General features: G+C 41.9%; 1 annotated feature.

Annotated features, from left to right (window-relative positions):
- Positions 10,586 to 11,194: an enhancer, noted in NCBI's record as "H3K27ac-H3K4me1 hESC enhancer chr6:125854657-125855265 (GRCh37/hg19 assembly coordinates)". NCBI's record gives its function as "activates a minimal SCP1, AML or CMV promoter by ChIP-STARR-seq in primed H9 embryonic stem cells {active_cell/tissue: H9 hESC(primed)}" and the evidence as "EXISTENCE:reporter gene assay evidence [ECO:0000049][PMID:30033119]".

The following is a 12,180-nucleotide window of genomic DNA, read 5'->3' as shown; positions in this document are numbered from 1 at the left end:
TTATGTTCATTGTGTACACACTCCCAAAGATATGAGATATGCTTTCTGATTTTCAGAAGCTCATTCTCCTCTCTAAAGCATGTTTTCCAAGCCATCTCAGCAGCAGTGTCATAATCACTGCTGTTTGCAAAAGAGTCATCTTAACCACTCCTTGGCATCTGCCATTCTCTTCTCCTATTCCAGTTCATTCTTACTCAGGCAGTAGATTCTTTCACTACCAGTGCCCAAAGAGGTGGCAATGCTAGTAGTGCCTCCTCAAAACTGTTGAGTTCCTGGAGCCATGATCCTGCGATATGTGAACTTATGTGAAATGTAATAGTGATTCAAGGTAGATTAACATTCAATGTCAAATTACTGCTCCAGAGAATAAGCACCAGGAACTCCTCTAGGGTTGAGTTTGTTGGGGGAGTCTTCTTGAAGGATCTGGGGCTTCACTGCTTATCCAAGTATATGTTGGTCTTGGATAGACAGAGAGGAGTGAGGTGTGAGTGCAGGAAATGAGAAAGCTAAGATGTTGAGGTGATAATGAGTAGTGCTTTTTAATAGTTCTAGGAATGGAATGGAGGAGCAGATTCCTGTGGGCCTGCAGAGCTTCACAACCAGAAGTACTCACCTAAGTGAAGCACAAAGGTGTGGTGAAATACTGATCTCCTCAGCCTTTGCGATGACATGGAGGGGGTTGGGTTTGTGAGAGCCACTGGAGGAGCCACCTTCAGCTGTGACCAGCTCTGACCATTCATCCTACGGCACCAAGAAAATATAATATTCTATAATATATTATATATATATATATAGTGGGAAGCGCCACTAGAAGACTAGTGGAAAATGAGACAGAAAAGGTAGCATTCAGCCTGACTGCACAAAAAAATGAATGCCAGGCTAAAGAATTTGATATTTCCTGGAAGTCAAGGAACAACTACTGAAGAATTTTAATTGACCCAAGATTAGCATTGTCATAGAGCCATGAGCTTTTAGACCTAAGAAGGACCTGAATAAAAATTATTTAATCCACTCGTTCTCAATCTAAGAGGGGGTGGGAAATGCTGTGAACACAACAGTGTGACTTGGAGACTTTTTTAAAAAGTCCCCTCCTTTCCCTTTGCAGACGCTGGTACATCTGATGGGGTAGGTAGTAAAAGATGGCATTTGTGTGCTTAAAGTTTTCTCCAGGTGAATTAGTCTCCTTCCTGCTGATGAACCTAGGATTTCTTCAGATATGTAGATCAACCAATTATCTGGTAATCTGTTCATCTTCCCCATTCTTAAAGGTGCTGTGATCAATAAGTCACCACCACAGATTTCTGCAGGTTTGATACTCTGATCGCCGTTCCCTGTTTCTGCCATATTATACCATATTTACCTACTCTACCATAACAGGTAATTATTCCCTCCAAGTCTTCACATCAGCATTTCATTATTGCCACTGAAATCAGTAGCCCAGTTCTACAATATTCTCCCTCCCCCGATCTCTGGCACAGGGACACCCCTGCATTTATGTAGAGCTTTCTAAGGATGGTTACACTTCTCTGACCACAGCATTTCTTAATTGAGGGAGCATCATGCAGGTTTTCCTGAGTGGAGGCAAAAGCATGAAAAAAGTGGGGATGGTTGTGTAGATTGCACATAATAGATCCACTCCAACATTCCTACCTCCTGTATGTTTTTGGATTCCTTGTTTTTCACAATTGTCCTTGTTTTTCCAAGGACAATTGTGATATTTCCGCCTCATTTACTGGTTCTAGTAACTGGCTCAGGAAACTGTTCTGCAGTGTTTCTTAACTGGGCTATTAGAAATATCTGGGGCTATTTAAAAATTCCTGATGCCTAGATCACACTCCAGAAATATTAAATCAGAGTCTCTGTGAGTGAACTTGAGCATCATCAGTATTTTTTAAAGGTGGTTCTAATGTGGTGTCAAGGGTGAGAACCACTGTGGTAAGCTTAGATAAGTGTATTCATATTAATACATTCAATTCCATTAAAATTTATATTTTATGTTTCTTGGTCCAGTCTATTTCTACCCATGTGTCTCAGTCTGTTTTGTGCTGCTATAATAGCATAAAATAATAGAATGCCAGAGATTGAGTAATTTATAATAAAGAAAAAAATTTTGGCTCATAGTTCTGGAGGCTGGGAAATCCAAGATTAAGGCACTGTCATCTGGATGGGACCTTCTTGCTGCATCATCACATGGCAGAAGGCAAAGAGAAGAACTCTGTGCCCTCACATGGTAGAAGAGTGGAAGAGAGAGAACCCACTCTCAAAAGACCATTTTATAGTGCACTAATCAATTCATGAGGGCTCTTTCCTCATGACTCAAACACCTTCCATTACGCCTCACCTCCCAACACTGTTGCATTGGTGATTATATTTTTAGCACATTAGTTTTAGAAGGGACAAAAACATTCAAACCATAGCACTATGTTTTCCAGGATCCTGCTTGTTGTGGACCGAATTGTGCCCACTCCCTGCTTGTATGTTAAAGTCCTAACTCCAGTATCTCAGTATAATTGTATTTGGAAATAAGGCCTTTAAAGAGATAAGGGAAAATGAGGTCATAAGGGTGGGCCTCAATCCAATGTGACTGATAGATTTCTGTCATTTAAGCCATCCAGGGTGGTATTTGTTATGGCAGCCCCAGCACTGCTAATAAAAAATGTGCAAGATTTCATAGTTCCTTTGCTGAGTGAGCTGCGTCTTCTTCAGGAGCAAACCTTGCATTTCTTCTAAACCACACAGGGATTGAACCCTCCTTACGAGCCCATAGGCATTGTGCATTTAGGGGATTGGGGAAGTGGGTCTTGAGAAGAATTGGCATTACCTGAGCCAGCATCTGCTCCAGGTTAACTCACTTAAAGGTTTTTAAGTGGAAAAAAAGGCTTGCTTTTTCCTAGCAGGGAGGAGGGGCTGCTTGGCAGCTGATCTAGAGCTGTAGTTCTCAAAGTCTAGTTTTGGGAAGAGCCAAGTCTTCATCTAGGAAGGGTTCAAAATGCAAATGGTTGGGTCCACCTCCTAGCCTACTGAATCAGAGAGTTTTGGGGTCAGGCCCAGCAATTTCCTCTAGGGCAGTTGTTCTCAAATTTATCACCTGAAGTGCTTATGGAAACACAGATTATCAGATCTCATGTTTTAAATTTCTCATCCAACGGATATGAGGTGGGTCTCCTGAATTTGCATTTCTAAGAAGTTTCCAGGTGATGCTGATGCTGCTGGTCTGAGGACAACACTTTAAGAGCCACATCGCTCTAAGAATTAGTGCCCTTAGGTCTGCACAGGCAAGCGAAGGAAATAATGTTACCAGAGTCCAGTGAGAGCTGGAATCTTGTAAGAGAGTCTTCTCAACAGGAGAGAGATAGCAGAGGAGAAATACTCCAATTTCTTTCTCCTCCCTTGCCCTCTGTCTCTGCTTCTCTGTCTCTACCTCCCATTGCCCAAGAGGAAGACAGCCATCAGAGGAATCCAATGATACAGTCTACAGGGGTCAGCCTCCTGGGACACCAATCAGGGCAAAGAATGGATCTAGATGGCGAGGCTTAGAAAAAATAAGCAGCAGATTGGGCCATTCTGATATGCATCCTCAGCTGCTGCTTCACTTGACTGACTTCTCTACTTCAGCTTTTCAATTCAACCTTTTCTATAACTCAACTAAAGTCAAATAATGTATTAGTAGTAGAGCCAGTACTAGAACAAGGTCTTTTGACTCCACACACTGTGCTTTTTCCACCACACCAATTGGACTTCAGGCTGATTTAATCTGGAAGCACCAAGGGACATAAACTGGATAGATTGGGAAGTTTGTCTGTGAGTATCTGTGTGTGTTGAGGGTGGTGGTAGGAAGGTTCTGGAGAGTGAGAAATTAGTGTAGAGATTCTTACAAGGACCTAGATATGAAACCGTACTCCAGCAGTTAAGGCATAAGTGTTAAATAAATAAATAAGGGTTTGGCATAGTGGCTCATGCCAGTAATCCCAGCACTTTGGGAGACCAAGGTGGGCAGATCACTTGAGCTCAGGAGTTTGAAATCAGCCTGGGCAACATGGCAAAACTCCATCTCTACAAAAAATACAAAAATTAGTTGGGTGTGGTGGTGCACACCTATAGTCCCAGCTACTCAGGAGGCTGAGGTGGGAGGATTGTTATAGTCTGGGAAGTCAAGGCTGCAGTAAGCCATGACTGTGCCACTACACTCCAGCCAAGGTGACAGAGTGAGACCCAATATAGAAAAATAATTTTTTTAAAGAGAAGAAAAGGAGCTCTAACACACAGGACCAAGGTGGAGGCAGCAGGAGTAGAAATGAAGGAACGAAGATCCTTGAAAGGAAGAGTTGTGATCTCCTGAGTGGTGGAAAGAGGGATGAAGTTTCATCAAAGGTGACTAAAGCCAGAAGGGGAAGTCTGTGTAGGCAAATGGGGAAAGTGAACTCAGAATTAGACATATTAGGTTTTTTGTTTGTTTGTTTGTTTGTTTTTCTGAAATACAAAGAGGAAGACCAGAGTCTAAATAATAGAGAAAACAAGTCAGCCAGCCACTGCATTCCTGGAGCATTCACTCTGCAGGCTGGTTCCAGCAGAGGCTGTGTGTGCTGCTCTTTTGCTGTCTCACTTGGCACCACTCGTGACAACAGCACACTCTGGAAGGATGATACCTGGCTATGGTTCAGGTGAAGCAAACAATACAAAGTTGACTGGCTTCTACGCGACCAGTCTGTGATACCAACATCAGTACATCAGAGTAGTATCATAACAGATTTGCCAGGGTTTTCATCTCAATTCTACCCCTGGACCTAGATGACTTTTGGCACAACTGGCATCTCCCAGAGCCTGGAAAACCTCAACTCTGAAACAGGGGTAATAAATAATATCCACCTTTTAATAATTTTTAACTTTCTAACCAACTAACTTGCCACAGATTTACAACAGTGACTCCAAGGGAAATAAAGAAAATATTGGCATATCTTTTCCTAGTCCAGGAAGTGAGAAGATTTTTGACTTTTATATGAAAACACACTGACAGAAGAATCTATAAAGCAAATTTTGAGTGACTGGCATGGTGAGGAGAGAGCAATCACTAGTGTAAGAGTAGTAGGCGACAGCTTTAGCCAAATATATTTTCCTTTCCTGATACATTTAAAAAATCAATAACTGCTATCTTTTCCTAAGGTATACTTAGAAGACTATTTATTATACAGAAATAGGACATTTCACAGATCAAGCATTCATTCATGAATATATTAGGATCCTTTGGAATTGTCGAGAAAAAGGGAAATTTAGGTTTGTTATTTAGGAAGACTTCTTCACAGTGAGTCTTATCCTTTTATGGTGAATATTCTCAAGGGACAGGTTAGAAAATCAGTGTTTGTGCTACTTAAAAGCTAGCTAACCTTTATATTCAAAAGGTGAATGTGGAGGCAATTCTTGTCTTTAACAGGAAGAGTGATATTAAGACGTTCCATGTTTTTTTGTTTTGTTTTGTTTTGTTTTTGAGATGGTGTCTTGCTCAGTCGCCCAGGCTGGAGTGCAGTGGCACGATCTCGGCTCACTCAACCTCCGACTCCCGGGTTCACGCCATTCTCCTGCCTCAGCCTCCTGAGTAGCTAGGACTACAGATGCCCGCCACGACGCCTGGCTAATTTTTTTTTTTTGTATTTTTAGTAGAGATGGGATTTCACCACATTAGCCAGGATGGCCTCGATCTCCTGACCTCGTGATCCACCCGCCTCGGCCTCCCAAAGTGCTGGGATTACAGGAGTGAGCCACCGCGCCCGGCCAAGACATTCCATGTTTTCATTTCCCACATCTTTTCCATTTATTTCCAAACTTCCCATATTAGGGACACTAAGTAGTCCAGAATAAGCCAAAAATTGAATTTCAAATGATCTCAATATTATCCTGAATTTTTTAGCACTTAAATCAAGCAGGTAGGCTGTTATTTGCTAGTTCTGCAGTGCTGACTGAAGCAACTATTATTGAAAAATGACAAGTCACAAGCAAGTTAATCCATATTTACTGTAATTATCAGACATTTATGTTAAAAAAAAACCATGATTCAAAGAACTACTGATCGCTAGCTTTAAAGGCAACTACTGCATGAAACAAATGCATGTGTTGCCTCATTCAATCTGCTCAGTAACTCGGAAGTAGGTAATAAATTTCCATTTTACAGATCAGGACACTGCGGCCTCAAATAAGTTACTAACTTGGCCAAGATTGCCAGGCTAGTAGGTGGTGAACTTGGTCCTGGAACCCGAGTCTGTTGGATTATTTCCATTGCATCATACGGCCACCTTGAGAGAGCAGTAGTAGCACTGATGACAGCCATCCATACCTGGAAGAGTGTGAGTTCCAGCGGAAATGAGGATGGCCACCACATGACCTCCAGAAAAGTTGACATGAAGCCAAATAGGATCATTCATATAGAATAATGACTGGCATGAGTATATGAAAAGGAAAGGACCTTTAGCCTCTAAATAAATTTTTCTTTGGCCAATCATGTCCCTGGGTACTTGGAAATTCTGGTATTAAAAACATTTCTTTTGTTAAAATAACTTCACGAGGTATCATGCACTCAGCCCTATTTATCTATTAATATTTTTATGTTAATTAGTATTTGACACTTGTTCTCCATAAGACAGTTAGCTATAGGGTAGGTCAGGTTTTAGAAATGCCATGTGAGAAAAGTACGTTTTGTTACTCCTGATACTCTGGAAGGGGGAAAGAAGGTTTTGGAGTAGAAACTACACAAGGTTGGCAGGGCAGGCTGGGAGTGCAGTGAGGGACCTCTGCCATTCCAGGAATTAGTGGGAGGGTTGGGGGAATTGAGGGGTAAGATCAGGTAGAGAGATCACCGAGGGCTTACATAGCTACTATTTTATAATTTTTAGCTAAGATTGGTAACAAATTAGGGGTCGAGACACATATGATGGGAAATTAGGCTGGGAGCAGAGAATACTAATTAATCTTAGTAACTGTCCAAGTTAACTTGGAAATGGGTGGAAGGGCTGGGGCCTACTGCTGTCCCTAAAAGCAGACCCCTGGAGACAGTGAGCCTGGAGATTGATAAAAGGCAACCTGGTCAGACTGGAAGATGAGAAGCCCCCTGGAGGCTTGCAGAACAGGTAGGAGCTGCCTCCTGGGTGAAATAGGAAGTCAGTGAGAAGGCAAGGCAAAACCACCCCATAAAGGAAAGGCTATGCAGAAGGGAAGGAGAACTCAGAAACTCATGTCTATATTTAAAAAAAAAATTAAGCCTGGTGCTGTGGAGTGAAGAAGGATATTTCTGTTAACATGGAGCTGGGAAGAGCCAGAGACAGGAGCCGCTTGGTGTGTTCTGCTTGACCTCCCACTTGACTTGTGGCACCTTGCCTGTGATGGAGACCATGAACCACTCACAGGCCTCCACTTGGGAGTGTTGAAGTGTTAGTCCCATAATCCAGCCTACAAGTGGCCAGTGAGATGGGGGTATGGGGCACGGTGCAAATTCCAGCCCTTTTGATAAGTCACCCATGGTCTGGGGCTTGGCCTGATCAAAAGGTGCAGAATAGGATTAAGATTCCAGAAAAGTAGAATGAGTGTCTGGGGAGAGGCCCATGGAATACTTTGAGGCTGGCTGTTGTAACTTGTGGTCTTTATTTAACACACAGAGGCAGGATTCTTTTCTATTTTAGCTCAGTTTAGAGGACAGCCAGTATCCATAATGGCCTGATAGATAAATATTGCACATGCCAAAGTGAGGTATTTCCCCATGCAATGCCAAAAGTTGGTTCTTCAATCTCCTCTAGGAGGGTAAACTCTAAATACCATGAATGATTAAAACAAAATGGGCCATTTTATCTGTTCCTCATTTGGACCACCTAATGAAATTGGTTAACTGTCTATGGGGCAGGACGATCCTAATTTATTTTCCTCTGCAGTGTATTTGCTGGCAATGGATGTTTTGAGGATCTCATCACAGGGAAGTTTGAAAATAAGAAAATCATGTCAACAATTCATTATTGAACATTTTCTTGGCATATGTCTGTATAAATGTAATTGGGTAAAACAGATAAACAGGAAAATGAAATATCCTAAGAGGAAGATGTTGCGCTACCTGATTGGTCATCCAGAAATGGAAAAATCTTGATTCATGAGACTCAGTCTGCAGGAGCACAGAGAAAGAACACCGACAAGAGTCCGAGAGGTCATCTTAGAAAAGTCTTGATCTTGCATGGATCAAGAATGGTGGTCTCTGTGAGTAAAATGTCCTTTCCTCTTTCACATGCGGAGGAAGTTTACTGTTTCATAAAACAGCTTCCTCTTGATGAAGCAAATTCTGGAACACTCTTAGCTAAGTTTGTGTGATACTTGTTTGTTGTAGAGCCAGAGGTGGAAAAACATGTTTCTAAGAGATTTATTCACCAATATTGTTGTTTCTCAGAGTTCTTCCAAATCTTCTACGTAGAAATATGTAAAATGAAGAAAGTAACTGGTTCCCCAAACATTGTCACCATAGACTTCTAAGGAATGCCTTTAAGAGGCCACCCAGGTGTAAGAAGCAGTGATTTGAGAGTCCTAATTGGAAATTGTTTAGACTGGGCTATTGACTGCTTTAATAAATTCAAGCTGTTTGCATGCAGTTAGGTGATTTGCATGCAGTTAGGTGATTTGCATTTCTTCCATTGGATATCTGAAAAGTGATATATCTGCTCAGATTTTTGTATTTCCAAGAGTTCCAACACTTCTGGCCTCTGCAAGAAGATAGCACCAGAAGAGCATGGCAATAAAGTGTTACTAAATGCAGAAGTAATGATACTTAATTCTCTGTTTTAAAAAAACATGTTTATTTATGTCTTCCACTGTTCTTTTTCATTTCATAAATTGTTATTATTGAATAATTGAAATGTTCAGAAGTAGCCAGAATGCTATAATGAACCCTCCCGCACCCATCACCCCCACACACTATTAATGCCTCACCTGTGTTCTTTCATATAAACCTCTGCCAACTCACCTCTCTTTATTTTGAAGTAGAACTCAGAAATCATTTCGTTTCATCCTTATATATTGCAGCATGCTCTAGAGTTCATTTGTAACTCAAGAAAAGAGCAATAATGTAATTCCAGCAATAAAAGTCTCTTTAAAAAATACCATCTTTTGAAAAGGAAATCTCTCTCCATTAAAAATAATTCTCCACTATTTTTAATAGAATGTCTTCTCTAAAATGATTTTTATGAATCTAATTTTTTGGGGGATTCCCTGAAAAGGATTTTGTAATCTTAAGTTTGCTCCTAATACAAAGTAGTAGGGTACATTATTTTTTAAAATTGTAAATGGTGACTGATCAATATTTAAATCATGTTCCAAGATCAGTAGCTTTGTGGTATGGGGGTGGCACAGGGCACTCTTAAATCCTTTAATGAAAATCACAACTTTATTTGAAATAAAGGAATTTGATATGTTTCTTTTCCATTATGTGCTTTATAACTTTCTACTGCTTTAACAGAAACCTGGAAATTTACACGTTCCTGGTAACCACATTGTCCATTAAAACTTGAAATAAACAAAATCTCTTTGATGAGTGACCCTTAGTGTCATAACTGGCAGGAAAGGTGTAATGAAAGGAGCTGGCAAAAACCTTGAGAGTTTTATGGAACAAATGCTACCAAAATAGAACAACCGTCTTCTGCTAGGTAACAGTCAACAAAATAAATGTGCTTCAATACATCTCGTATGAAACCACGCCGAAGTTGTCTGTAAATCTTGCTCAGTTTACTTTGTTAGAGTTGCACTAAAAAGAAAGAAAGAAAAAAAAGTCCTGGGTTACAAAGCAAAACGCACGTGTTACTGGTTTAGTCCTTCAATGGGATATCGACCACAGTGTTCCTCCTGTTTATATTTGGAAATCAACACATAAACCAGGCTTTGGCATTTCAATGGTAAATAAGAAGGCATTACATTCTTCCTTCCCCAGGCCAGCTACTTTTTCAGTTCCTTCTCCCTGTGCTCAGGGAAACAACCCAAAATCTGAGCTCCTGTGAGAACCTGTCTGATTTAAACGCTGCCAAGAAAACATAAAGTAGTTTATCTTACACTACAGCGCAGGCTGGACGAATAGTGAGGCTGATCAAAACGGATAACGCAGAAGCACTGAACAGAAGCGCAAGGAAATTCATTTCTAATTAGGTATCCATGTGTCCAGCACCTGGCTTCGTATCTCTGTTAAGCTCCCCTATAAATTAGGTTTAGTTTATTTTTCGGTTCGTTTAAAAGTAATAAGGATATGTTAAAAATTCAGAAACCAAATGGGACCGTCACAGCTTCCTTTGAAGAAGATGGTTATCAGGACTTTCAGACATCTCCCATCTTCACTTCTGGGAACATGCCTTCATTTAGATAGTGCCTGAGGATTAACTGGCAAGACGCTGTCTCCTGTTACTGAGTTTCTTCCTTCCCGAGCGGCCCGGCAAACAGCAGCCCACCAGTATTCCCGGGCTCGGAGCTCGGCCCCAGCCCGCAGCCCCGCCTGCCTCAGCGTCCTCGCGCACCTACTTGCCATTCCCAGGGTCTGGAATTGTGGTTAGAAAGAAAAACAATGGCCCTCAGTGCCACAGTGTAGAATGGCAATGGGAGGAAATGACAGAGACACAGGAAGCAGGGAGAGAGGGTTTCTTACACAAACAAGCTCAGGGAGGAACAGACTAGGAAAACAAAGGTAAAGCCGGGGAAAGCAGCCCCGGGGCCCGCGGGAGAGTGCGGTCAAGGCCGGCGCCTGTGGCACCTCGGTGACCAAGTCTTGGGGGCTCCTGAAGTCTCAAGCAGCAGAGAAGCCAAGAAGGCACCGAAGAACCGACTGTACCCCTGGGTTTGGAGTCTCTGGGAAGGCCTCCCTGCGCCCCTCCACGTGGGAGTCAGGAGCAAGCTGCCTGCCCCTTTCTGCCTCCCCAAACAACACCGCACGGCATATACCCGAGGAGTGCGTGGCTCCTGCCCTGGGATTGGGACTCATCTGGAATTACCTACAGTAGAGTCATTAGAAACTCTTCTAGCCCGCTTCCTGTTTGGGGGTAGCATATTAGGAGCAGGACCACTGTCGGGAGATTCCTGCCATCTCTAATGTTCCTCTGTGGATCCCCCCACGCCCACCCCAGTGGAAGTGATTAAGACTAGCTCTGGAGGTGGCCTGGGGCAGGGGTGGTGGCTGAACTGCCCTCTGATCTCTACTGCCCTCCCCCATTAAGCAACCACCAATAAAAATAACGTATGTTTTGTATGCAGTGTGTGTGTGTGACTACTGCTGTTTTTTAAATGTAGTATTTACAAAAGCATCTTTTTCAAAAGGTGGATGGAGACTTAAAGATGGTACTCTCAGAGTGAAAGGAAGGGAGGATGTGGTTAAGAACAGAGTTACTCCCTTATAGAGGGTTTCACTTTATGGGAAATCTCCCCTGGAGCTTTGAAAAAGTCATGTTTAACACATAGTTTGACGTTTTTTGTGTGGTGAGGTTATGGAGAGAGTAAAAGATGGGGCTGCAGATGGAGACAAGGCTTGCCTCACACTCCTCCATCCTCCCTATGGGCTCTTGAAGAGGAAGCAGAATTTTACAGGGTATCTTGGGTCAACAGCAGCCAGGTATGATGTGGCCCGTGGCTCACAGTGGAGCAGGAAGGAACCCTCAGCTCAAAGAACAGTGGTCAACTGGATGACCTGAAAGCAGATGGGAGACAGAGAGAAGTGATCCTAGGGTCAAGGGAAATAACTGCCATTGGAGTAATAAATTAATTGTGTGATTAGTTGTTTAATGTATGTCCCTCTCATTAAATTAGAAATTCCATGTGGACAAGGATTATATATAGAGTTACATTCAATACATAGTTTTTAAATGGGTAACTAAATACATTGATAGCACTATTGATTTTTTAAAATAGTTTCTTATTTACCTATTCAATATATATTTTTTAAGAAATGCACATAACACATTGATTCTCCTCTCCAGGCTAAGCATTGGACAGGCACTAAGAATAATTAGAGCAAATAAATAAATAAAGCTTCCTCATTAGGATATTCTTCTCTGCTATAGTTCCCCAAACTTATGGAGCTTGCTTGTAGAATTCAGCCCTGCAAAAAGTTATTTTCATACAGTGTACTGAAAACAGCCCTGAATATGCTACTCACATTAACTGGACTTACTGATGACTTCCCTATTTCCC

Source organism: Homo sapiens, chromosome 6 (genome assembly GCF_000001405.40).
Source record: "Homo sapiens chromosome 6, GRCh38.p14 Primary Assembly".
Taxonomy (NCBI): Eukaryota; Metazoa; Chordata; class Mammalia; order Primates; family Hominidae; genus Homo; species Homo sapiens.
This window is presented reverse-complemented; position numbering and strand designations above follow the sequence as displayed.